A 27,365-nucleotide genomic window follows, 5' to 3' on the forward strand; every position below is an offset into this window, starting at 1 on the left:
TGCTTGCCTCTTTTTCTTTTTTGAGAGAGGGTCTTGCTATCTTGGCCAGGCTGGTCTCGAACTCCTGGCTTCAAGTGGACCTCCCACCTTGACCTCCCAAAATGCTAGGATTACAAGCATGAGCCACCACGCCCAGCCTCAGTGTCATCTTTTTGGCGTGTGAGACAAGAACCATGGGTAACTGGTACCTTTAGCATACTTCCTTTCACTGTCTTAGTAGGTAATAAGCTGCCTAAGTCTAAAAGTGGCCTACTGTGACTTTACTGATATAACCAGTCAGGTTTTAGCCTTGGTCTTGCCTTGTCTTGTATGTGAGAGCTAGACAAAAGGGTCATCTGGGCATTATGGCTCCCCAAAGTGCTGTGCTATGAAGCATGCAGCATACTCTAGCCAAACTATGTTCATCTTCAACATGTCAGTGTCATACAAAAGGGGATTGTGCTAGACTAAAAGAGATTTAAGGACATAATCAGATGCAATGTCAGGTCCTTGATTTGAAACTGGTTTGGATAAACCAGCTATAAAGGGTATTTTATGGTAATTTGGGGAAATTTGAATATGGTTTGAGTATTAATAAAAATTTATCTAAATATAAGATTGGAACCAAGTGGCTTACAAAACTGCATAGTATGATTTTATTTTGGCTTACAAATGTGTATAGAAAAATATCTTAAAGGGTGTATCAGTCACCAATTGCCACAAAATGCTGTGTAACAAAATAAATTTCAGTGGCATGCAATAATAAGAGTTTATTTCACGCTCTCTCATCTGTAGGTTCTCTGTAGTTATCTAGGCTGGCCTTGACTGGGCTGAAGGTTGAACCTAGATCTACTCCATGTGCATCTCATCCTCCTTGGACCAACTCCTACCTGAGGCACATCCTTTTCTTGGTGAGAGGCTAGAGTGCAAATCGGCAAGGTCAACCATGTGAGAACACATCGAGCCTCTAATTGTACCCTGTTTGCTAACATCCCATTGGCCAAAGCAAGTCACGTAGCTAGGTGCAAAATCAAGGGGCAGGGTGATTTAGTCCACCCACCACAAGGCCACGACACGGTGTGGATATATACTACTACTACAGGGGAATGGAGAATTGGTACCAATATTTTAATCTACCACAAAGGGTATGCTCTAGACAAAAGTTACAACAGTAACAGTTAAGTAGTAGAAACATGATGTTTACATTTTTTAAATTTTTACTTATTGGCATTTTTCTAATTTTCTGTAATAAACATATACTCTATATTGAAATAATGACAACTTTTGTTTAAAACTTAAACAAGTAAAACAGCTACTTAGAAGTTCCACCTTATCACTCCAAGCCCTCTACCTCCAATTTCATATCAACTGGGAAGATTTTACTCTATTGAATTAAACGTACCTACTTCTGGAGAGGCTGCTCTGTTCCAGGCACTGGGGTTAGGGAGTGGGGGATTGTGGAAGGGTAGGGGAAGGAGACTTCTCTCTCCCCAGGCCACTAGATAAAAGGCCATGTTTGTCCACATTGGGAGGCTGATGGGAAGAAAGGATGCCAGACCAGTTGGCCTGTCCCTGGGGCTTGTCTCAGGACCTCCAGGAAGTGCTTCTGAACTGCAGGCCCTCGTGTGTGTCTCCCATTTGTCAAAACTTTGACCTGATCTTTTCAGAATCCACCTTGTGAGGCCCCAGCCTTGGAAGCCACTGCCCATTGCCAGAACACGGGGAGTAGAGCAGTGAGCACTGAGTGGGCCTGAGGCTGCCTTTCTTCCCTGGCACACGTCCTGAGGAGGGGAGGTTGTGGCGGCACCAGGCAGAAGCTATGCCACTGCTGCGCTGGGTCTCCCTCCCCAGAAGCCCTCACTCTTGATTTGCTCAAGCTGTTCCCACTGCCTGGGATCCTGCTTCCCCTTTCTCTCTTCCTCCTTACATCTTGACTCCAGTGTCACCCTCCAGGCAGGAATGTCTTAATCCTCCTCACACCAAACGATCCCCTCCTTTCTCTGTCTCTTCTCCATCTCCAGCCTTGGTTTTCAGCAGGCTTTGTTCACACTTCCATCCCAGCAGCCATGGCTTGGGCTGGGGCTCACAGCCCTCACACTCAAATGCTGTTTACTCATTTCATTAGACGAACATGCCGAGTACCTACTATGTGCCAGGCCCTGCTTTAAGGCCCTGGGTATGCAACTGCAAACACAACATTCCAGTGGGAGAGACAGAAAACACAAAGAAGTGATTGGGAAATAATTAACCTATGAACAACCCACACTGGTGTCTGTGTCTGTCTCCCCATGAGACCTAGACCCCACCTCTGATCTTGTTTCTAGTTTCTGGTACAGGGCTGTGCTTATAGCTTGTGCTTAATCACCATTTGCCGAGTGATCAAGTGAATAGACAGCAATCAGTTGTGGATGGCTTGTGTGGATATGATGGCCTGGTGGCCTTAGACCAGTGCCATGGGGATCAGCTCCTTCTAGCTAGCCATTCACTCTCAGAAATAGTCAATGCTTCCCTAAGCCCAGGGCTGAAGCACCGGTTGCCTCGATGACCCAATAAAGCACCCCACACACATACCCTAGAAGACAGCTGCCTGCCCACTGACCCCCTACCAGGATCCCTACCCTTCTGACAAAATTGAGTGTGCCAAGGGCAACCTTGTCCCCAAGGACTATAACAACAACAAATATAAATCCCTGATATGACACTTGGGCCCCTCCAAGAAGCAAATGTTCAAGTCAACAAATGTTTATTAAGTACAGGCAGATGAAACTCATATAGCTCCCCATCAAGGAAGCATGGGGTGGGAAGAATAAGCGGACACAGACATGGAAAATTTCAATATAGTAAAGATGAAGTCATCAAGTACAGCTTCCAAGGCCTATCAAGACTGGGCTGGAGGACTGAGTTGGCTGGAGGGCATGAGAACGGGCCAGGCACAGGAGGGTCAAGGGTGCTCCCAGCAGAGGTGGCAATGGGAGCCATGGCAAAGGCTGGGATGCCTGTAGCTGGGGAATAGGCAGCTAAGCTGTCCAGTGTTTCTAAAGAATAAGATGCCCAAAGGAAGCCCTGCCTTCCCGAGGCAGGATATGAGGGGCTTTCTTGAATGATTGCCAAGGTGTGTGACCTATTCTGTCCTTGGCTCTGCTGGGTACAGTGCTCGGGACAGGGTGAACTAAAATGCTATCTTTCTTTAATTTAAACATTTAAAAAATATTCATTACAAAAGAAACACATGTTTATTATGTAATATTTGGAACACCCAACAAAGCATAAGGAAAAAAATAAAAGTCACCTACAGTCTTCTGCAAGAGTTAACAGTGGCTGATATTTCTTGCTGAGAGTGGAGCACCCAGCATTTCACAGGTCTCACAAGAATCCTAAGAGGCAGGTACTCTTAGCTGCATTTGCTAGATGGGGAAACGGAGTCATGGGAAAGATAAGCAATTTGCACAGGACCACTCATTAGCAAACGAGAGCCCACATTCCAACACAGGCAGCCTGAGTTCCAGACACTCTTTCTTAACCATTAGGACCATTTTGGTTTACAGCTGCATTCCAAACTAGTTGCTGCGGAGCCCCAGGGCTCTGCAGTAAACTTATGGGGTATTTCAAATAGTTAATGGAAATATAGTAATAGCTATCGGTCACAGATTAACTACTACTATTAAGTTGTTTGGATCCAACTACTTAACAAATAAAACTGTTGGGTTTTTATTTGGTGGGGCGAGGATGTCGAGGGGTGTCTAGGGGCTTTGTAAAGAATTGCTGAGATACTAAAGTTTCCATGGGCTGAGAACGTTTTAGAACATCCAGCTGATAGTATTCTATGCAGGTGTATACCACCTTCTTTTTCACTTACAAAATGAACTCATGACATATATGGAATTTTATAACCTGCTTTTTTTCCCTTTCACAATCTGAGAATACTTATGCATGTATTTAAGTGATTTCTTTTTATTTAGCTAATATTCCATTGTTGGATAGATTTTTTTTTCAAATTTCTATCAATAATGCTATGAGAACATTTTTGTAAATAAGGGCACCGTATTGCTCAGCCAAAAGGTGTGCATATGTTTAAGACTTTCAATATGCGCCCAGATTGCTTTCTAGAAAGGTCTTCTCTAACTGCATTCTAACCAAGTACAGCAAAATGGCAGTTCACCCATAGTATATTCACCCATCTGTATATTATCATTTAAAAAAATACTTGCCATTTAGTAGATTAAAAATGTGTTCTCGTTATTGTTTTAATGTACTCCCTCAGCTGCTAATGAGTTTGGCAATTTTTTTATTTGTTTATTGGCCACTTGTGGTTCTATTGTGAATTGCCTATTCACATTCTTTACTCGTTTTTCACTTGGAATGTTCATCTATTTCTTATTGATTTGCAAGCCTCCATCCAATTTTAATGAAAAGCTTAAATCCCCAGCACAGCTGTGAGAAATGCTGATGGCTGCAGTTCTCTGCAGATTTAATTGTTTTAATAAGTTCCACAAAGACTCAAAGCCTAATGAAGGTATAGATCTGATCTGTGGGGCTTAGAAAAGCTATGTAATTAGAAGTTTCCTTTCTCAGTCAAAAGCCAACTATATTTATCAGTTTAACTTCCTACTTTTTTCCTATTTTGAAAAATAATACATTTAAATATATCCTACTGGTCTTGGCGGCATGGTAGGGAGGGCATCAGAACAATGTCTGGTTGTTATGTAACTCTCCAATTAATTTAGGGTCTTATTTTCTCTTTTGGTTTCATATTTTGTCTTTAAAGTGAAGGCTTCAGATCTCTTTGGTTCATTTCTGCTTTAGCTGCCTCTGGAACCTGAAGTGAGGCTGTCACCTAGCAACCAGGGCTCTGCTTATAGAAACAGAAGACTTGGCCCTGGCCAAGAGAGGAAAATCACCAGTTGGAATAAAAAGTTTTATGTTTGAACTAGAGAGCAGCCAAAGGTGCAGCGCCTAGCAGGATGCAGTCGCCAAGCTGTCCTCCCAGAGGAACCCCAGGCTCTCGGAGGCCCAGACACAGAGTTGGGGAGGGCTGATGGCTTCAGCATCAAACTTTGGGAGCTTTGCTCCCCATCCGGAGGGGCAATGGCAAGTGGAATGCTTTCGACTTGGATCCAGAAAAGAGGTTTTAACTCCCCTACCCCACAACCCCTGCATGATCTGATCTCTTGGGACCCTGGTCAGTTCTGGGGGGCCACAAGGCTTGAGGCTTCATGCAAGCATTTGGGGATGCAGGCTGCTCCCTTCGAGTTCAGTTTTATCACCTGGGTCTGAGCAGGAATATGTACTGGGCGTGGTGATGCATACCTGTAATCCCAGCTACTCGAGAGATAGAGGTGGGAGGACTGCTTGAGCTCAGGAATTCAAATCCAGCCTGGGTAACACAGCAAGACCCCATCTCAAACAAAACAAAACAAAGACTCCAGGGGCTCCCACGCTGTGAAGCTGGGGGATAATATTAACACTTCCAGGATGTTCTGCATCCATCATCAGATGTAAGGAAAACCTGGAGTAACTAGAGTTCTGGAGTCACTAAGATTCTGAGTAGAGGAAGGGACTCTAGCTGGCTTGCTGGACTTCAGTATACTGCAATCCCACTGGCAACACTGCCCCTATTTAGTAGTTACAGCATTTTCCCTTGAAACCCCACCCCCTTCCCACACAGACACCACCCACCCCCAACCATGGACTCCCACCTCCTTATTTTTCCTTCTCTTTCTCCAGGACATGCCCTGGCCAAGGGAATATTACTGAGCCTGATCAGAACACAGGCCTTAAATATTCTTCTGTGGTTTGGCTTGCTCTTCTGCCCTCTGTTATGAAAATAAAAGTCCCAGGTAGCCCCTGGTCCAGGGAGAACAAAGAGATACGTATTACAGACCTAAACTCAGCTGTGGCCTGAAGTAGAGTCATGCCAGCCAATCTCCAGGCCAATGAAAAAGAAAAATGAAATGTTTGTTGTTGTGAACCACTAAGATTTGGGGACTATTTGTTAGGCAGCTTTATTGCAGCAATACCTAACTAATACACTGCTCATTACTCACTACCACTATTTCCTTCTACATGTCCCGATACTTGTATCTTCTGAGGCCCACTTAGTCAGCTTTTCTTTCAAATCTTCAGGCTTTACTACATTCTTCTAATAAATTCCTCTCTTTGCTAAAGTTAGTGGGAATGGATTTCTGTTGCTTGCAACTCAGAATGCTGACTGGTAGAGTTCGTCTACTAAATCTCCTCTCCAGAATTGACTATGCCTCCATCTGAATTCAGAACCTTCCTCATACGATCTGAATGGTCATTTCCAGCCTTTTCCCCATCTCCTTTTGTCTTTAGGGAGCCTCGGCTGCATCCAACCGAAACAACCTGTGTCCTGAACAGGTTTCCCTGTTTCCTCCCTGGAGGACTTTGCACACATTTGGTCTGGTGGCAGCATTCTCTCTATCTTCAACTGCTGAGTCCTGTGAATCTTCTAAACATCACCTCTTCGAGGAAGTCCTTCCTGATTCTCCCCTGGAACTCCCATCTCCCCTCTGTAATACTGGATGCACTTGCCCTAGTTGTCCTAGTCTGGATGGTGCCTATCTTTCTCTAAAGAGCTGCTGTGGTTTATTGCCTTACTAGAGGAGAATTTATGGAGACCAGCACTCAGGGGTGGCAGAGAAATCCCAAATCTTTTTCAATGTCACTCATCCCCATTAATCACTTTCCAGTGGGATTTCCTGACACTTGAAATCAAGGGTCCTGTGTTGTCTACTTTTGCATTCATATGCCAAGCTCAGGGCCTGGAACAAGGGTGTACTCTAAAGGGTTATTTGAATGCAGGAATGAACAAATGCCCATCTTTTCTAGAATCTGAGTACATAATAGAAATATATTCCTGGCCAATCACGTGGTTCTTTTGATCTGGATGAAACATAGCCATGATTTTTTCACCTTGTCCAAAGATGAAGTTGGGTCTTGGACAACTGCCAAGACCTGGGTGTCAACCACAGACCAAATATTATTGAGAAACATCCAAATGAAGCACCCAACACTTAAAATTCACTCAGTTCTTAATGTTACAGTTGATGGGACCACAATGGCCTATGCTTGCAGGCTCAGTACATATAATCCATGAAACTGAGGTTTGGTGTAGGGAAGCAGGAATCTGAAACCCATGCAGACAATAAAGGGAAGGATGGGAACTGGACTCCAGACTTCCAAATTGTCAGTTCTCTATTCCTTACAAGTAGTAGAAGTTTCCATGGCAAAACAGACTAGAGAGCCTCCAAGCTGGGTTTTTCCATTGGGTCTTCCTACACAGCCTGTTAATAGGGCGGGCATCACCGTTCCTGTGCCAACCTCCACAGTCACAAAGGCTGCTATTCTGTGGCCAGGAGGATTCTTAAAATAATAGTGCTGCCTGCCTCTGTGGGCTGGAGCCAGCTGTCTCAGCACAATTGGTTCCTGAACTACAATTTCCTACTTCTGGTGATAATTGGTGTCATAGTAACTGGTCAGCCACGTCCATTTCTGTCCTGGTAGCCAGGGCTTGGTCAGGCAGGGGAGAGACCCAGAGTGAAAAGAATCAGGTGAGCATCATGTGATGGGATAGGAAAGACTTTTGGAACCAGAAAGATTCGAATTCAAATCCTAACTCTGCCACTTGCTGGTTCTGTGGGCTCCATTTTCTCATTTGTCAGGTGCGAGTGATCACTGCACCTGCCTCAAAGAGTTGATGTGAGATGAATACTGTGTCTGACATATAGTGATGGTTAGTGAATACTGTGTTACTGCATAAAATAAGAAAGAGGGCTGCCAGAGGCAGACCCTGAGACAAGGAGTTGATTTGGAGGTGATTCTGGGAAACACCAGTATGACAGTGGGGAAGTGAGTTACAGAAAGGAAGACAGTGATGCAGCAGGCTTTAATGTGTAGGTTACCCTGAGAACAGTGAGAGTTCAGTCCCACTGGGCACCTTTAAGAGTCAGGGTGGAGCATGCCTCAGCATTGTCCCCCCCAGCAAAGGGTGAGGAAGTTGAGGTATTTATCCACCCCAACTCCCACCCACCAGTGGTCATGGCTGCTGGGGAGTGGGGCTTAACTTTCCAGCACAACTTGCTCTTTGCAACAGCTTAATGGGCTTAAGAAGCCTGAGAAAGCCTGCTTTGGGCAGCAAGTTGCAGCTGCTGGCAATTGACATATGGGGTCCATGTGCATGGGAAAGATCACTGTGGGGCACCCACAGCATGTATTACAAGGGTCCAAAGCTCATCAGGAGAAACCAGGGCTGTCATACTATGTCTGAACTGGGCTAGAATTAGGATGCATGGCTGGGTGTGGTGGCTCATGCCTGTAATCCCAGCATTTTGGGAGGCTGAGGAGGGCAGATCCCTTGAGGTCAGGAGTTTGAGACCAGCCTGGCCAACATGGTGAGACCTTGTCTCCACAAAAACCAAAAAAAAATTTTAGCAGGGCATGGTGGCGAGTGCCTGTAGTCCCAGCTACTCGGGAGGCTGAGGTAGGAGAATTGCTTGAACCCTGGAGGCAGAGGTTGCAGTGAGCTGAGATTGCACCACTGCACTCCAGCCTGAGGGACAAGCAAAACTCTGTCTCAAAATAAAAACAAAAAAAGAGTTAGGATGCAAAACCTAAAAGCTTGGAGCTGGTGCGGAGAGCCTGGGGAGGTGGAAACTGAGTCAGGAATGAGGTGAGGGTCCTGGACATTTGTCATCAGCTGCCTTGGAAGCCCCAAACCCTATATTCCTGGGTGCCAGCCACATTTGTAGCAGATCAGCTTTCTCTCTATTGGGATGACCTAGGGCAACATGGGACTGTGTTGAGAGAATTTCTTACTCTTTCCAAAACACAAGGGTTACTATTTCACACACACACCCTTACCCAGCTCTTAGTACAAGCTGTTTAGCTTTAGCCATAGCATGGGCGTGGGGGAGGGTGTGCATGTGTGTGTGCAGGTCCTTGGGGGAGAACCTTAAGAACGACCACTTTTCTCATTGCCGGCAATGACTACAGATTGGGCTAAGCTGAATAGCACACTAAGACATGCACAATCAGGAAGGGATGAAGAATGGAATTAAGAAGCCCTGTGCATCAGAAAGTGGCTGAATTCTGTGTGAATCCTCCCAAAGCACACCTTCCCTTAAAGGTCAGTAGATAGAAGCTTTTTGAGATGCCTTAAGCTGTTAAAGTCCAGTGTCAGAAATTCCCACTGGGTTTGAATTTCAATGGATTACTTGAGTTCCCTGAATGCTTTGCAGACAGAAATAAAAATACATGTATATATTTGCTAATATGTATATATATATGGGTTAGGCTTTGTGACTTCTAAATGTAAGGATAATGAAATGAAAAAGTAAGACCAAAATGCCTCATCATCCTCATGGAAAAAACACCCAGGAAAATAACTTTTAGAAACCGAGTTCCCAGTAGAGCGTTCCTCGAGGTTTATAAATTTACTGATAATAGTTATCATTATTATCACAATGATAATTCTCAGTATTGCTATTTTAGCAAGTACCATTGTTTAAGAACCTTCCATCTGCTCCTTATCTTGCTTTTCATATATCTTATTGCATTGAAAGCTCAGGAATTAAGGTGTGAGGAAACAAAGGCACTGAAAGGTTGATCGATTTGCTGTGGGTTGCAGAGCAAATCAGTGGTAGAGCTGGGATTCAGCAACAGACTTTTCTGGTTCCAAAACCTGTACTTTAAATTATTCACTCCAAGTGCAGGGGGTGACATAGTTGAAATGGATTTCTTTTTAGTGGTAAAATGTTATTCTTGTAAGTACTTCTTGACCTCTTCATCTATTCTTCACTGTAGTCAGAATTTTCATCCCCCACAGCACAGTACTTTTCACCCAGCTTTGGGATTTAGTGATGGTTTCATGCCAACCAACTGTCGAGGCCACCGATATCCTGAGCCAGTATGAATTAATTTGAAGTTACACTTACGACTTGGGAGATTTAATATCAAAATCAGGATTTCTAGCTGTTTTTGAAAAATTACAGAATCAACAACACTGATACGGCCCTCCCTTCAGCTCACCTCAGTCCCCACCTGTCCCTGCTGTATCCTCGCCACTGGTGCCAAGTGACAGGAGCCACAGAGCATCACACCTTGCATTGTGTATTTTCTTACAATAAATTAAGTTTTTCTAATTGCTCCTCAATTATTTTCTCTCCTTTCTGGCATTCATAGTATTTGACTTTTTTTAAAACTTTTTTGAGACAGGGTCTCACTCTGTTGCCCAGGCTGGAGTGCAGTGGCATGATCACAGCCCACTGAAGCCTCAACCCATCCTCCCACCTCAGCTCCCCTGAGTGGCTGGGACTAAAGGGGTGCACCACCATACCTAGCTAATTTTTTGTATTTTTAGTGGAGACCAGGTTTCACCATGTTGCCCAGTCTGGTCTTGAACTCCTGGGCTCAAGCAATTCGCCCACCTCAGCCTCCCAAAGTGCTGGGATTACAGGTGTGAGCCACTGTACCTGGCCTAGTATCTGACTTTTTGGTGCCTAAAAATCAAGGATCCCCCCGCCTCCACAAGCAGTTCTTCAGCTACACCAAGAGCCATTCTGAGTTCTATCCTGTCTTCTCTCCTGTGCTCTTATCCTGCTGAATGGCACAAAGACACCAACTCAGCTTCAGACAGACTTTTGTAGAATAGTCGATCTAACCGTTGTTATTGTGACATCCAGCAACTTCCTCAGCCTCTCTAGCTTCTGCTTTCCTTATTTGGAAAACAAGCCCTGGTTACTTTACCTAAAGACAGTCAAAAGTCAAGCCAAATGGCTAAGTTTGCCCAGTACACTGGGAGCCATCCTGCCAAATGAGCGAGCCACCAAATTATCTGATTCTTTTAAGTATTCTGTTCTCATTAGCCAGCTTTCATCTTGTCTACATAATAGGATTTTATGAAATATGCAACTTGTGTCTGCCTTAGCACTCTGCTCTTCGACTGAAGACTGAAGTACCCAGAGAGAGGGAAGCTGAGGGAAGAGCCGGGGAGACAGGACTAGAGAGGCAGGCTGGGGGCTGAGGAGGCATAAGGAGAACACATTCATGAAAATATGCTCTGTAATATGAACAAGAAAGCATGAGGAATATGCTCATCAGAGTTCTCCTTATTAAAGAATATATTATGCTTCTCTTTAGCCCTTTGACTCCCCCTCTTTATCTTCAGGCTCCACCAGCAGCAGCAGAAAGCAGGAGCGGGGACATTGGATGTTCTTTTAAGACATTGTTATAAAGATGGAATGAATTCAGTCAATTGGGAAATATACTAGTACTTTCCTTACAGGATTGTGGGAAGGATTAAAGGAGCTAATGATTCTGAGGTGTGTATCGACAGCACCTCACAGTGACTCCTGTTATCACACTACTCAGAATGGCACCGCCTGCCACCCAAATCCACAATCCTCCCCACCTTCATGTGCCATCAAAACCAAGATTCTACCCACATAAGGGCGACTAAAACAGACCCCTCAAGGTTGTGGAAATGAAGGAATTAAGGATGTCCTGAGAGTTAAGCCATAAAATCAGCTCATTAAGGAATGTGCAGAAGTGCAGAGGCCCAAGAACAAGTTCCAGGCCTGCAGTGGAATCCACCCTTCGCAGGGAGAATGGGACCATTGATGGAGGCCATGGCTGACCAGGGAAGCCTGAAGGTGGGGAAGTAGAGGCTGAACATTGTTGGTGCCCCCCCACCCTCTGCCCTGGGAAGCCTGGGGCCATTAAAACATCACTTTACATCAATAGCCCTTCATTGCCAGTTCCTGGGTAGGAAGCCACTCTGGGATAACATGGCTTCCCAAGATCAATGCCTCCAGGGAGAACATGTGCTCATCTGGCTGATGTGAACCTCCAGACTGCTCAGAATTAGTCAATTTTCTTTCCAGTTTGTTCTCAGGTCCCTCAGTGGTTGTTTATTCAAGCATCCAATAACTTCTGGAACTTAAAAGATTGAATTTCTGAGCTTACATGGCTGAGGGCCAGACCCCAACGAGTGACTCATTCTCCAAAGTCAGTTTCCTCTGGCGGGGGCGGATCTCTCTATATGAGCAGCACCTGGCCCTATGTGGCTGTGGGCACTTCCCACTGGTAGCCTCAACCACCTCAACAGGGTGCCTGCCCTGGAATAAAAGGTAGGGAGCCATACTGCTGCAAAAGAGAATCCGGTTTCAAGGTCCCCATGAGGCACCAGCAAATTTTGTTCTTGATCAGGACTTATGGCCTTATCTAATAATGTTGGCAAGGAAAGGGGAAAGTTTCTTCCTATATTAGTTTTAAAATCTAATTGAAGACAATTCTGTTGCCTAGACAATGGCATATTAAATCATTCAGCAAAAGCAAGGATTTATTAAAAATTGTCCTTGATCTATAGAACAAGGGAATGTAATAAATCTTCCAGAATTTTTAGCCATGCTTACTACACATCATGCTCTAAAATTGCATTAGGCATGGAAATGAGATGGGGCAAAGGGCTGCAGGATCCTGAAGCAGTAGGACAGTATTCCAGAGCAGTCTGACCTTTTGGTGACAAGTGAGTCTCCCGAGCATGTGTCCAGGAGAAGCAGGGAATAGGGAATAGGGTGTGTGTTGAGCATAATTTGTCCAGGAACTAGGCTAGTCAACTTGACTATACAATCTCCTTTAACCCTCACTGTCTGCCTATGGGGTAGATCATTTTCTGGGTTGAAAAAATCTCTGTTATAATAAGTTTCCTTAGGTGGCAAAAGAGAGAAACCAATTCCAGCTAGCTTGAAAATCAACTATCCCCCAAGCAGTTCTTTGGGTATACCAGGTGCCATTCTGAGTTTATCCTATTCTCTCTTCCTTACATGTAGGGATACTAGGCAAATACTATGTCCCACAGAGTGATAGGGAAAAACACAAAAGCCTAGGTATGTAGTGGGTTATTCCATCTAGGTTTGTGTAAAGGCACTGTCTGATATCCACACGATGAAATTACCAGAACATGTTTCCATCATTAAGTGATGCATGACTCTCTGTGTGTGTGTGTGTGTGTGTGTGTGTGTGTGTGTGTGTGTGTCACTAATGCAGTTAGACTGTGTTTAGCTTGCAGAAAGTGAGGTAATTTGACTATTATCTGGGCCTGATATTTTTCACCCCAAGTCATACATGCCAACAGATACATGGTAAGGTCCTGTGCAGCTTAGTCATCTTAAAGGACCTCAGAATCACTTCAACCATAATTCCAACCAAGGCTGGAGAAAGGCAGGAGCCTTCGGCAGATCTGTGGACTCAGCAGTGGGTTTGCTGACTGCCTTTCTGGTGCACTGACATTACCATGACTCAGCTCGCCAAGGTCTATGTCTCTCAGTTCAAGGACAAAGATTGTGATAGATACAGCCAAGATTGGGTTCTCCCCTGGATCTATCAGGGATGGCCAAGGGGGTGGGTATGTTTTTTGTAGACAAAGCCTATGAGGGCTCATCCACACAGGATTCATGAGCTGTTCCCAGGGGAGCAGAACTTGTGAGCCAACAGCCACTTTGGTGGTGGCAAAGTCCCCAGTGTCCCAACAGGAAGTGTTGAGATTGGTACAAAATCAGCATTCCATTCCCATCTCCCCTAGTTTCTCCCAGGCATCTCTATTACAGGGGCCTACAGTGTTCATCAAGGCACTTATTTACAGGTAGCAGAGAATGTGGCCTCTGAAATTTAGCAAGGCCCAACTGTTTAACTCCCAGTGGCCTCAGAGGGTTGACAGCAAGAATTTCCTTTGCCAAAGTTATATATCCATTCTGTTGCTGTCACACTGCTTTCAAGTGGCCATCCCAGCTTGTCTGGAGTTTGTATCCTTCTTGAGTCACTTACTAAAGTCTGTAGACGATCTCTAATCCCTGAAGTACTCTGATATTTTGCTGGTCTGTCCCCAAGTCTCCACCACTGAACACATGGTCTGGCTTCTGGGAGACAATAAAAGGTTGTTTAATGGATTGCATTGTCCCTGTATGTAAAAGGACTGCCAGCACCCCAGGCTGGGGTTAGGGATGCCTCACTTCTTCCCAGTGCACCTCAACTCAGCTGGTTCCACGTGTTAAGGTGCACTACCTTGCAGCCCATTCCTGAAACTCATCTCTATATTAGTAAGATGGAGTGCAACTAACGTGTAGATTTAGTGCTTACTGTTCACTGTGCTGGTGACCCACACTAAATACTTTACATGCATAATCTCACTTCATTCTCGCAGCAATCTGATGAAAAACCACTGTTTTTCTATTTCTCTTTTTATTTGACAAGTGAGAAAACTGAATTACATAAAGATGTCACAGGTGGCCCAAAAATCGCACCTAGCAAGTTGCAAAGCAGGATTTGAGTCCAGAGCTTAAGTGCTTAATCTCTGTGCTGCTGCTCTTCTGCTTGTGAGCAACAGAAAAGAAAACTGCAGCTGGTGACTCTATTCACCTATTGCTGCATAACAAGCCACTCCAAACTGAGTGGCTTATACCAATAGCAATGATTGTTTGCTCACAAGTCTGTGATTTGGCAGGGCTCAGCAGGGTCAGCTTATGCCTGCTCCACATGGCATCAACTGGGACAGCTGGATTGAGGCAGGAAGATCTACTTCCAAACTGCCTCACTCATATTGCTGGTTAGTCAGTGCTGGCTGTTCATTCTTCTCCACTTGGGTGCCCCTGTGGGCAGCTCGGACATCTCCTCAACATAGGGGCTGGGTTCTAAGAGAAAAGCACCATGAGAAAGAAAGTGTGAGTGCCAGTTTCTTAAGGCCTGGGCCTGGAAAATGGCACAATGTAACTTCCACTGTATTCTAATAGTTATTCAATTACCAATTAACAGAATCTGGGGAGGGGCATTGACCTTGCCTCTTGAGAGGAGGGATATCAAAGAATGTGGCCAGCCATATTCTCAAACTACTACATTAGCTCAAGCAAAAGGGAAGTTTATTAGAAGCCCTCATGTTATCTCACAAATTCCAGAAGGCCAGGAACCAAGAGAAGACCCAGCTGCTTCATCACTGGGAGTTATGTCTCTCCTCTCCAGAACTCTGCCATCAAAGAAACTCAGCTCTGCTGTCTTCCAGCCTCTGTGTTTCTCATTGCAAAATCCCAAACTCCTCAAAAAGACAATCAGATTGACTCACTCCGATCCTCTTATGGACTGAATCTTTGTGCCCTCCCAAAACTCATATGTTGAAATCCTAATCCTCAATGTGATGGTATTTGGAAGTGGGGCCTTTGGGAGGTAATTAGGATTAGATTAGCTCATGGGGGTAGGACCCTTATCCTGGGATTAGTGCTCTTACAAAAAGGGAAGGAAACACAGGATCTCTCTCTCTCCTTCCTGCCATATGAGCAGTGACCGAAAATTGTAAGTATTTTGAAGGCCAAGTCTCACAGGAAAGTGTAAGCAATTGATGGGCAACTGCAGAAGACAGCCGTCTGCAAACTAGGAAGTGGGCCCTCATCGGACACCACCTCTTGGACTTTCAAGTCTTCAGAGCTGTGGGAAATAATGTTTGTTGTTTAAGCCACCCAGCCTGTAGTAATCTGTAACAGTGGCTGGAACCTAAGACAGATCAGTTGTCCATCCTGGATTCATCACCTATGGCTAGGGGGTCCATGTCTGCATTTCAGGCACTTTCCCAAAAAAGGACAGTGTTTACTGCCCTGTTTTATAGATAAGTAACTGGGAATCTTGTGAGTGTAAGTTATTTGCCCAAAGTCACATAACTGATAAATTGTAAATCCTATATTTATGTTCATGATCTTTCTGCTTCCTCTAAAGGGCCATGGAGTAAATAAAACGTTGGAGCTAAGCAGCCCTTGCATTTACCAAGTTCTCTTGGTGAAAATGGTTAGTGGGCAGCTGAACCATGTTAAATAATACTTCCCTTGTCAATGTGAACTCAATCCCTTTGTATTAAAATCAAAACAGCAGAGTGTTCTCTGTATACATAATTGTCCCTCCCTCAGAGTTTCTGATTCAGTAGGTCTAGGGTGGGGCCCGGAGACCAGCTTTCTAACCAGTTCCCAGGTGATGATGATGATGGTGCTGGCCCAGGGACCATATTTTGTGAACCACTGATCTAAAAGAACAGACATCTACATTACAGGATTTCTTCTTATTGGAGCTTCTGGAGTAAACTAGTCAAGGATGGCTGCTAACAAATATTCACTTTCCCACCACACTTCCATGGGGGAAGTGTGCTTCCTTGCTCCACCAATGTGGGGCTGGGCCCTGGGTCTTATTTTGGCCCCATGGTTGATGTCTACCCCTGCTGCCTACCAACTTTGTATTTGGCCATGTTATTGGCTTTGGCCAATGGAATGTTAGCCGCTGTGGCATAAAATATAGTTGTGTGGTTGGGTTTGCCTTCCTATGCTTCTGCCTTGAGAAGTGCTTCTGAGGGTAGCTCAGTGGTCCCAGAAAAGTGAAAAACTCAATGTTGCAGACCTGAACCCAATACTGGCTAGTGCCAAGTCCTAGTGAGCCCAAATTAGATCAGGTCACCTGCAGACATGGGAGAGAAAGATAAATGCCTGCTATGGTAGGCTACTGAGGTCTAGAGTGGTTTGTTACATAGCATTGTTGTGATAAAAGCTAATTGATGCAGTGACTGATGTTGGACCTTTCCTGTTCTTTAAACTATTCCTTGACCCCCTTCATTTCATAAATGCCTATACCAAGACCTGCATGAAATTTTGAATTTTTTTCAGATTTTAGTATTTCAATCTATATCAATTCATCGAAAGAAAGTCATCCCCTGCCCCCCAGGAATGAACTAAACCAAGAGATTATTTTAAAATTTCACTTAAAAATAATGAAGAAGGGATGAACTAGGCCATATTCTTTGCCGGCTGTGTAAAGTGATCAAAGTCAACTGGCTTAAAACTGACATATGATCCTGAACTCGGAAAAAAGCTACAGAAAATGAAAGCCAGCGTTGAAACGACAGCACATCCGGAAGGAGCAAGAATTTACCACCGAGGTAATAAATTGGAATGTTCTGGAAGGAAAATCTATCTGAAATGGCAAAAAGTGACCAAAAGTTGTAAGTATTTTAAAGGCCAAGTCTCATGGGAAAGGGTAAGCAATTTCCTGGCTTCTTTGCTAGGCCCCGTTTCACTGGGTGGAGATCACTGTAAAATATAAAATTCTACAGAAATAAATCTACCTTTTAGTCATGGAAACTGTTATTTACATTTACCCTTCAAGACACTCAGTGGGAGAGACCTCCCTCCTAAAGGCGGAGTCCTGGCCAGTGACTTTCATTAGGATCTAAGTGGATTACACTCTGACTTGCGCATCTTATTCTAAAGCACATGAGCTAAAAACTGTAGCTTTCTGTGAGGGGGAAAAACATCCTAGGGATCACACTGTATTCCAACAAGCACTTTAAAACTTTTAAAGCATCCACCATGGCAAAACAGAGCAGGCCAATTCTAGAGAGGAGAAGAAGTAAGAACACAGATCCAATGTCATAGGACACATACGGATCACCTACTGTTTGCCAGAAACGGTGCTCAGTGTTGTATATACAAAGTCTTTCACTAATAACTACAACTGATATTTGCAGCCTGCTTTGGTGGATTGGGCTGTGCAATGTTCCAGTGGTTGACCCATTTCTCTCCCTTGCTCAACAAAGTTTTAGAAAGATATTCCTTAATCATAGAATGTGCTAAATTAGGCCATAGCAGACAATATAGAAATTGTGTTTCTGTGTGTGTGTGCGTGTAGTCTTGACAGATAGTCTTTGCTCCAGGGAAGAGACAGTCTTTGACAAATCTTTATTTACCAGGATTCCAATCTATTCCAGAGTATATGTCATATTAATATGTCATATTAATATTTATCAAGAAAAATATTATTGCTATTATTGAGGTACACTAGCTAGCGTGTATTGACTATTGAGTGTATACCATGCACTGGGGACATCTCATTTAATCCTTATATAACCCCAATCATTATATTAAATTCCCAATTTCTCTACTGATTGCCCTGTTTATATAGATCAGGAAATGGAGATGACCAACTTTCCAGGGGATCCAACAGCTAGTAAACCATGGGGCTGGAACTAGAGCCCAGATCCACTGAACCCCAAGGTCCCTACTCTGAACAGCCTCCCTGAATGGCCTCCATTTTAGCTTAAAGGAATTTTTTAAATACATAAACTTTCAAGGACAAGCAGAAGAGACAACTGGACAGCCTGCTAGAAATGGGAAAGCAGAGCATGCATAGCACCTGCTGTAGCAGACCCTAGAAAGCTGACTCTTTGGCCAGCATAGAACAGACACAGCCGGAGTTGCCCCTAGGCGGCCTCAGAGATTCAGGAACAACCGGCAGCAGTGATGCTTGGCAGTGAGGGTAAAGCGAGGCTAAGTGGCTCAAAGTCTGCCTAAGAGTCAGTTAGGCCCCAGCTTTCCTTTCCACTCCACACAACCAGGTGCTTGTCCCCCACTACTCTAGCAGAAAACTATCATTCAGTTATCTGAAGAGGTCAATGCTGGGGGTTTCTGAACTGGGGGCATCAGGCACAGTTTAGGGCAGGAGTATTATACTGAAAACAAGAGGTTTAAATAAACATTTATACATGTGAAAGATGAGACCCAGCCTACTCCTCAACCTTCCTCCCAAACTGGCTCCAAGAATGGGGCAGCCAAGCCTATATACTCCAGGTGGGAGGCTGCAGCAACCTTCTCTGGGGAACATGGGCAGCCTAGGAGGGCAGAGTGAAAGACCTGACATCAGTGATGCCTGCAGGGAAACTGTCCAGCCGGATGGCTCCATGGTGAACCCCATCATCTCCAGTATCTCCAGTAACAACTGATTTCCACCAAAAAAAAAAAAAAAAAACCAACCTTATTTTACTCTTTATATTATGTGCTTATATAACTTGATGAACCTGACTAACTGAAAGCTCCAATCAGCTTCTTAAATATAAATAACCAAACAGGGATCAACACACATCTTAGAGAAGACTGTAAATAAAATAAATAGGTAGAAAGAAAGAGACTGCTGCCAGAAGAAACTAACAAAAATGTATCATAAAAAGAAAAAACCAGAATTGCATCTTCAAAACAACATAGGATGCTAATAAAAAAGGGAGAAAGAAACATTCAGAGAGCAAAGAAAGCCCTTAGACATAAAAAACATGAAAATAGAAATGAAAAATAAATGGAAGGTTTGAAAGAAGTCGAGAAAATTGAGAAAAGTTCCCAGAAAGTAGAGGAAAAAGTGAAAGAAATAGAAAATGGAGAAACTATTAAATGAATGAATGAATGACAAATACAAAATGCACAAATAATGGGAATTCCAGGGAGAATCAAAAATCATAAAAGAAAATTCCACAAAATATTCCAAGATGATTCTCTAGAAGTGAAGTACACAGGTTTCCAGATTGAAAGCCCCATTATATTGGAGGAAATAGACCCCACATTGAGGCATGTCACTGTGAAATTTCAAAGTGTTAGAGACAATCCTACAACCTTCCAGAAAGAAAAGACATACAAAGAACTAGAATCAAAAATGGCTTATGGCTAATCAAGAGCAATGTAATCAATATTCTAGAGGAAAATTATTTTTGACTTAGAGTTCTGCACCCAACCGAAGTATCAGTCTCAAGTATCAAGGTGGAATGAAGACATTTCAGACATGCAACATCTCAAAAAATTTCAAGAGTCCCTTGCACTCTTTCTAAGAAAGCTTGTGGAGGGCGAATTTCAATAAAACAAGGGTATAAACCAAGAAGAAAGAAGGGATAGGCTCTGGAAAACAAGGGATCTCAGGAGAGAGGTGAAATTGATGGTGATAAAGGAAGATTCAAGAATGACAGGTGTGCATGAGGTGAAGAGACCAGTGAAGACTCAAGCAGTCAGAAGTCATGAGGAGGAGGTTTCTTCGAGAAGATGAACTGAAAGAAAACCCAATGAATCTGAACATCCTGAGAGGAGAATTAGACAACTGCAGAAACTTTTGGGGTTGAATGAATGATAAGTACGTAGGAAACTAAGCAAACAAGCAAAAACAATGCTTCGCTAAAGAAGAAAAACACTGTTCAGGAAAAAGAAGTTATAGTAGAGCACTCTGTGGCTCAGCTGTGAAGAGCATTTTCACAGTCACAGTGAAAGCCAAACATTGATGGAACCCAAGTTAAAGGTGCATTATACTGGAAGGATGGGGTGTGTGTGTGTGTGTGATGAGGGTAAGGAGCAAAAGACAGCTGGATCTCCATCTTCCTGGTGTAAGGCAAACCCTGATTTCACACAAACCAAGAAGTAGGAAAAGAGCAAATTCTTTAGAGAATTGGAGGTAAATACCCAAAGCATCAGCTGAAAGAGTTGAATATGTTTTTTTCTTTCCTAAGGAGTGGAACAAGAGAGAAAAATGAAGGAGTGTTGATCTTCACGACAAAATCTATTTTGCTTTTTCTATTATGAGCTTATATAACTTGATGGAAATTAATAATTTAAAGAAACAAACTACATTAACTTAAATGTTTTTCCTGTGATAATTACTTTAAAAAAATAACCTAATTAAATCTGCCCTCTCTCAGGATTTGTAAAGTCTTTTGCCTCTTTTCAAAAAAAAAAAATAAATAAAAGTCTTTTGCCTCTTTTCAAGGACAGTCATGCATTACATTAACAATGTTTTGGTCAACAAGTGGTGGTCCCATACAAACGGTGGTCCCATAAGATTACAATACCATATTTTTTCTGTACCTTTTCTATGTTTAGCTATGTTTAGATACACGAATACTTAGCACTGTGTTGCAATTGCCTACAGTATTCAGTACAGTAACATGGTGTGCAAGTCTGTAGCCTAGGAACAATAGGCTATATTGCATGTAGCCTAGGTGCATAGTAGGCTATGCCATCTAGGTTTGTTAAATACATTCCGTGATATTCACATGATGACAAAATTGCCTCAAGATGCACTTCTCGGATGTATCCACATCATTAAGTAAGGCATGCCTGTAAATAAATCCCCTACTGAGGAAGAGATGATGCCATTCACTCAGCACCATGGGAGGCCCTGTGGGATTATGGGGACCACAAAGAGCCTGGATTCAAATGCTACCCTCACCACTTTCTAGCCCTGTGGACTCTAAGTTATTAAAATGCTCTAAGCCTCAGCTTCCCCTTCTGTAAAACGGTAATACTAACACCTGTCTGCTTTCAAAGGATTATAATATTGAGGGTCAGGCACCCGATAAATAGTAGATATTATAAAGCATGAACTAAGAAAACACAATTGTGTTGGTTTCTATTGCTGCTGTACCCAATGGCCACAAAGTTAGTGACTCGAAAAAACACAATTGTGTTAACTGAGGGTTCTGGAGGTCAGAGGTCTAAAATCAAGGTGTCAGTAGAGCTGTGTTCCTTCTGGAAGCTCTAGGGGATAAACCATTTCTTTGCCTTTTCCAGCTTCAAGAGGCTGCACCGTTCTGATTCCTGCTTCCACCATCACATCTCCCCCCGACCTTCACTCCTGCATCCTTTTTTTTTCTTTCTTTTTTTGAGACAGGGTCTCACTCTATTGCCCAGGCTGGAGTGCAGTGGTGTGATCTTGGCTCACTGCAACTTCCACCTCCCGGGTTCAAGAGATTCTTGTGCCTCAGCCTCCTGAGCAGCTGGGATTACAGGCACCTGCCACCACGCCTGGCTAATTTTTGTATTTTTAGTAGGGGCGGGGTTTTACCATGTTGGCTAGGCTGGTCTTGAACTCCTGACCTCAAGTGATCTGCCCGCCTCAGCCTCCCAGAGTGCTGGGATTACAGGCTTGAGCCACCACGCCCCCCCCCCCCCCCCCGCCTCCCTCTTTTAAGGACCCTTGTGGTTACTTTGGGCCCAAATGGATATCCGGAATTATCTTCTCACCTCAAGATCTTTAACTTAGTCACATCTTCAAAGCCCCCCTTTTTTTCCATAAAAGGTCACATATTTCCAGGTTTGGGGGACTAGGACATGTATATCTTTGCAGAGCCGATTATTCTGCCTATCACAAGGATGAAGTTGGTTTTCAGAAGTAACAAAAAGTTAGATGATTTCACTATTCTCTCCCTTTTAAAAATGTTTCTTAAAAATTTGAACCACAAAATTTGTTAATTTTAAGAAGTTACTGTTAATTTTTTGGATCTGATAATGGTTGGCTCAGATTTTTTTGGTTTCTTATTTCTCAGAGACATGTATTAAAATATTCACAGATAAAATGCTATGATGTCTTGGATTTGCTTCAAAATAATCTTATATTGAAGGAATGAGTAGGAATAGAAGTAACCAAGTTGGCCACAAGTTGACAATAGAAGAAGCTGATTGATAAGTATGTGGGGGTTCACTGTGCTTTGTCTTTATATGTTTAAAATTTTCCATAATGAAAAGATTTTTTTAAATTCGCCTTTATATTTGCGTTTTATTTCTCTGCTAACTTCCACCACCTCAAGGCTTAATATTACTCCAGTCACCCACTTTACTTTTACTCCATATTTTATTTCTTCATTTCCTCACCTGAGGACAATAATAATAATAACAACATACTGTGCAATATTTCATTTAACTTTCACAGCAATCCCTCGTGCATTGCTATTGTTGTCTGTATTTATCTCCATTTTGCAGACGAGGGAAGTGAGACTTAACAAGATTAAGTACCATGCCCGAGGTCAGGAAGTCATAGAGCTGGAATCCAAATGCCTGGTTCATAAGGTTGCAATGAAGGACTTCATGAGATAACTTATGTGAACCACCTAGCGTGGGCCTCATACAAACAGAGAATTTCATGTGTGTCACTTCTTACAACTATAAGAGAGACGAAGAGAAGATAGGACATGTATTGCCTCTCACAGTAACAGTTTGACTTCTGTGAAGGCGAAACACAGATCTCACCCAAGGCTGTGGAGGGAGAGCCACAGAGGGTGAAGCATCCTTATCTCCACACCTGCCGTCCCTTGGTGCTCCACATGCCGCCTCCCCCCAACCCCTCATCGCCGTCCCTGCTCCACCACCCCAACTCTCCCTGCTGCCATTGATTTCCTTTTAGACAGGTGTGCAGGGTGGGAGGTTCAAAAAGAACAAAAGAGAAAGGAAGAGAAAATTTGCCAGGAACATGAAACTTGCCTCACTTTCCAAGCTCAGAAATTCTGCCTCAGTAATTCAGCAACATGGATCATCTGCCTACCTCCCTCACCTCTAGGTCCTCCTGTCTCCAGCCAGGGCTACCCCTCCCACCCAGCTCGGCCCTCTTTTTCCATCTCCTCCTGCTTCTGTCTAAAGGGGGAAGCCTCTCCACAACTGATTGTTGGGACAAATCTCACTGGGCCACAGAGACCTTTCCCACCTGTCAGCCAAGCAGTGGTCTTCACCTCCCAGGCTCCAAGGTAGCAACAAACACTGCAACCACAAGGTCGGTCATCACAGCCTCCAGGGGTCGTGAGCAGGAGAGCGATTCTCACAGCTCCATCTCTCCTTTTCCCCCCTGTTCATTCATCATCCTGTAAGTGGGACTCCCTTCCCCAGAGCTCATTTGTGACAGTGGGTGGCCAGAAGAAAAAACAAAAGGGGAGTCATATACAGGAAACAATGTGTAGAATGAAATGTGGGCAGTTAGAAACATCCTTCACCTAGCTATGCGCACTCTTGTCAAGAAAAGAACTGTTTCTGGAGTCCCCAGTCCAAGGGTCAGATGTTGTATCAGCCTCCCAGTAATCAAGCACGCCTGGATTTTATCCCGATCTTAAAAGTGGAAATGACAAACAAACAACAACAAAAAACTCCCAAAAGACAAGCAACTTGGTGGATGCTCACGGCTGGTGAGCAACAGCACAGACACAGATCAATCTGATGATTCAACCCAAGCTCCTTCTACCAGGCTTGGGGTTATTCAGAAGCTGTTTTTCAATTATTCACAGGCTGTCTCAGGAAGTTAAACAGGATGTGCAGAGGGCCCCTCAGAGAGTCATGAATGCCAGCAGAGTTGAACGCTTCTTGAGATGCTCAGCACTAGAGAGGCGGCTCCCAAGGAACCTGGACATAAACTGAAACCAGTAAAATTTTTGAACATTTGCTGAACAAGCATTCAGAACTGCTAAGCTAGTTGTGTGAGTCTTATTTTTAATGAGTGTCTGCATAGATGAGATGGGATCTCTTGTAAAAATGACAATCAGTCCTGCTGAGGCTGTTTTTGACATGTGAATTTAAAATTCCATCTTCCTTCAAAACGGGTGACCAATAGATAATAAAAACATTTTGTGATGACAGCTGCCCTGACTGGGAATTGGGGAGGGGTGAGTTGTGGGGAGGAGGTAGGGAAGCAAAGAGAGGGTGGCTGCGAGGCATTGGAGAGCCCCAGCAAGGAGGGCCTATGTGCCTTGCCAAGAAGCTTAGGCTGCTGAGGGACTGAAAGCCATATGATTGTGCCTGGGCAAAACAAACGATATTCATTAACTTCAAAGTGCAAATGGCCAAGACATTGTCTATTGGCATCCAGCTCCACTTGCACCTGCTTCTATGTCCTCCCCTGGGTGGTGGGAGCCAGGACCCTCGGAGGTGCTCATGATGACAGGGTTCTGCATACAGTCTAGGATTCACCACAGATATATATTCATGGAGATCTAGAAGGCAGAAGGGAGGTAACAGACATTCTTCCTCTGACAGAAACTGTTCTGGACAGAAAATGTGACCCTAGATTCACAGGCCAGAATTCTTATAGTAGGCCATGGCTTCCCTGCCAGTTACCTCACTCAAGGCTGCTGAGTTGCTGGGAAGTTGGCAGCAGTTTCCTACACATTTCAGACATCCTAGAAGCAGCAGCCACTTTCTGACTCCCTGCACCACAGGCGCAATGGTAAACCCTACAGGTGGCTGACTTGCTCCTGTAGCTCTTCTGTTAATTTTGCCAGCAACTAATTCCACGGAGCCTCTGGAAAACCCTGATAGGAGAGTCACAGCATAGCACCGTAGGGTCTTAAAGCAAAGCTGTGCCCTATTCCAGAAATAACTACTTTCCTTTTGAGAAGCAGTTCCTACCTCGCTCCTAGGGCTGACTGTAGGAGACCACATGATCTGAACGGGCTACTGTGAACTAGATGTTCTCTGATGCCCAAGTCACAAAGGTGGCTTTATGTATGCAGCAGCATGGCATCATCCAGTGACAGAAGTAATATTGGTCTCAGTCAGGTCCTGAAGGCACCAGTAGGTGCCTTCCTACTTATAGGAATCCATAAGCGGGATTCCTATAGTACCTCTCTCCACTCCCTCAGTCTTCACCTATGGCTTCATGGGGAGTTCTTTATGATCAGTTGACTGAGGAAGAAAAAGCTCCGACAAAGTTCACGAATGGATCTGCACAGGGTGCTGCACCAACTAGATGAAGAGTGCTACACATTATACGGAACATAATGGGGAGGGAAATTCTCCCTCTGGGCAATACTTTAAAAAAGACCACTGGTTGTTCATTTTGCCTGGAAAGAAAGATGTTTACAGGTAGAGATCTATGCTGATTTATGGGAGGTAGCTAATGATTTGGCTGGATGGTCAGGGATTTAGAAGGAACAAGACTAAGAGATTGGTGGCTATAAGGTCTGGAAAAGGGATTTGTAGATAGTCCTTTTGGAATGGGCACAGCGTGAGGATATCTGTATGCTGTGTGAATGCTTGCCTTAAGATGCCCACAGCAGGCAAGGCTTTTAATAATCTGATGGACAAGATGAGCTATAGATGTCAGCAGCCTCTTTCCCTAGCCACACCTGGTGAACAAACGAAGTGGCTATGGTGACAAGGATGAAGTTTTTGCATGTTCTCAACAACAACGATTTCTCTTCTCCAAGACTGGCCTGCCCAACCTACCAATAGCAAAGACCCTAATATAACATCAATCCCCAGAGGGACTAACTGGACACTTTGTGGCAGGTGGATTACACTGGACCCCTTTCATCATGGCAGGAGCAGCTATTTTTTTTTTTTTAAGATGGAGTCTCGCTCTGTCACCCAGGCTGGAGTGCAGTGGCACGATCTCGGCTCACTGAAAGGGGAGCAGTTATTTTTATATTTACTGGAATATGTGCCTGCCCTGCTTGCAATACTTCTGCCAGCTCCACCATCCATGGCTTTACCCATTGTTATGGTATCTGCATAGCATAGGTTAATTGCAAGTGGTGGAGATTGACTACATGCCTATATTCTAGGGCAAATAACCCTTGGCTGATACCATGGGATGTATTAACTAAGACTGATGTTCTGTACCCTTGGGTCAGTGAGTTACTTTGGAACAAGATGAATCAGCATGCCAGAATAATTGGACTGATAGTTTGCACCTGGTTTTGGTGGAGCCTTGGAAGGGGGATTTCAATTATTAAGGCTGGCCACATAGCTACAGCATGCTTATATGACCAGCTCATTTTAAGATACCCCAACCACAACCAGGTTCTCCGCTACCGAGATGTTTGACATACGTACCCATGGTAATAAGAGACCTGGAGACAATACATGTCCAGTGTGACCCAGCATTGTGAGGATAAAGAAGTCTGCACCTGAGCTATCTGGGCCCCTTTCAATGCATATCCATTTTCTGCTACTATTGTACTGTATGTACAGATGTCTATTCAATAGTCAAATGAAACATATAACAGGTATTTTTGTATGTGAATTTGGAGTTTGAGGGAAATATTGGGGAAGAAATATATACATATTTAGAAGTCATAAAAACACTGATGTTATTTGAAACTATAGGAGTAGATGAAAACAGAGAAGAAATCTGAGGACTGAGCCGAGGTCCCTCCAACATTGACCAGGAAGAGGAGGGGACACCAATAAAGGAGCTCAAGGAGTAGTGACCAGAAAGAGGGGAGACACCAGGAATATAGGTGGCCCAAAAGACAGTGAATCTGGTGTTTCAAGGAGGGAATGATCAATCATGTCAAATGCTGCTGAGGGCTAAGATGTGGACTAAGAATTGATCACAGCATTTTGCAATATGAGACCATAATACTTATAATAAACATGCTTCCAATAAAGTGGATTGAACAGAGAGGGGAAGGTAATACAGAGAAGAGAGGAAACTTGGATACGTTTTTTGAGGAATTTTTAAAGAAATGGTAGGAAATCAGAAGCCGAGAGAGATTGTTTTAAGTGGGAGATATTACAATATCAGTTTTAAGAAATGGTAGGAAATCAGAGGCCGAGAGAGATTGCCTTAAGTAGGAGATATTACAATATGTTTTTTTGATGGTGTAAGCAATCAAGCAGGGAGGGAGAAAGTGATAGTATATTATCACTTCTCTCTCTTTTTCTTTTTTTTCTGAGATGGAGTCTCACTCTGTCACCCAGGCTAGAGTGCAGTGGTGCGATCTCACTACAACCTCTGCCCCTGGGCTTAATCGATCCTCCCACCTCAGCCTCCCAAGTAGC

At 43.8% G+C, this 27,365-nt stretch overlaps 1 protein-coding gene across 1 annotated transcript in view, besides 2 other annotated features; it reads right to left on the bottom strand.

Moving 5' to 3' along the window:
* Nucleotides 1–27,365, bottom strand: part of LYZL4 (lysozyme like 4) — a 49,847-nt gene that overhangs the window by 3,872 nt on the left and 18,610 nt on the right. The window lies entirely within an intron of this gene.
* Nucleotides 5,004–5,632: an enhancer, noted in NCBI's record as "OCT4-NANOG hESC enhancer chr3:42411131-42411759 (GRCh37/hg19 assembly coordinates)". NCBI's record gives its function as "activates a minimal SCP1, AML or CMV promoter by ChIP-STARR-seq in primed H9 embryonic stem cells {active_cell/tissue: H9 hESC(primed)}" and the evidence as "EXISTENCE:reporter gene assay evidence [ECO:0000049][PMID:30033119]".
* Nucleotides 20,722–21,229: an enhancer, noted in NCBI's record as "NANOG hESC enhancer chr3:42426849-42427356 (GRCh37/hg19 assembly coordinates)". NCBI's record gives its function as "activates a minimal SCP1, AML or CMV promoter by ChIP-STARR-seq in primed H9 embryonic stem cells {active_cell/tissue: H9 hESC(primed)}" and the evidence as "EXISTENCE:reporter gene assay evidence [ECO:0000049][PMID:30033119]".

This window comes from Homo sapiens, chromosome 3, assembly GCF_000001405.40.
Source record: "Homo sapiens chromosome 3, GRCh38.p14 Primary Assembly".
In the NCBI taxonomy this organism is placed as follows: domain Eukaryota; kingdom Metazoa; phylum Chordata; class Mammalia; order Primates; family Hominidae; genus Homo; species Homo sapiens.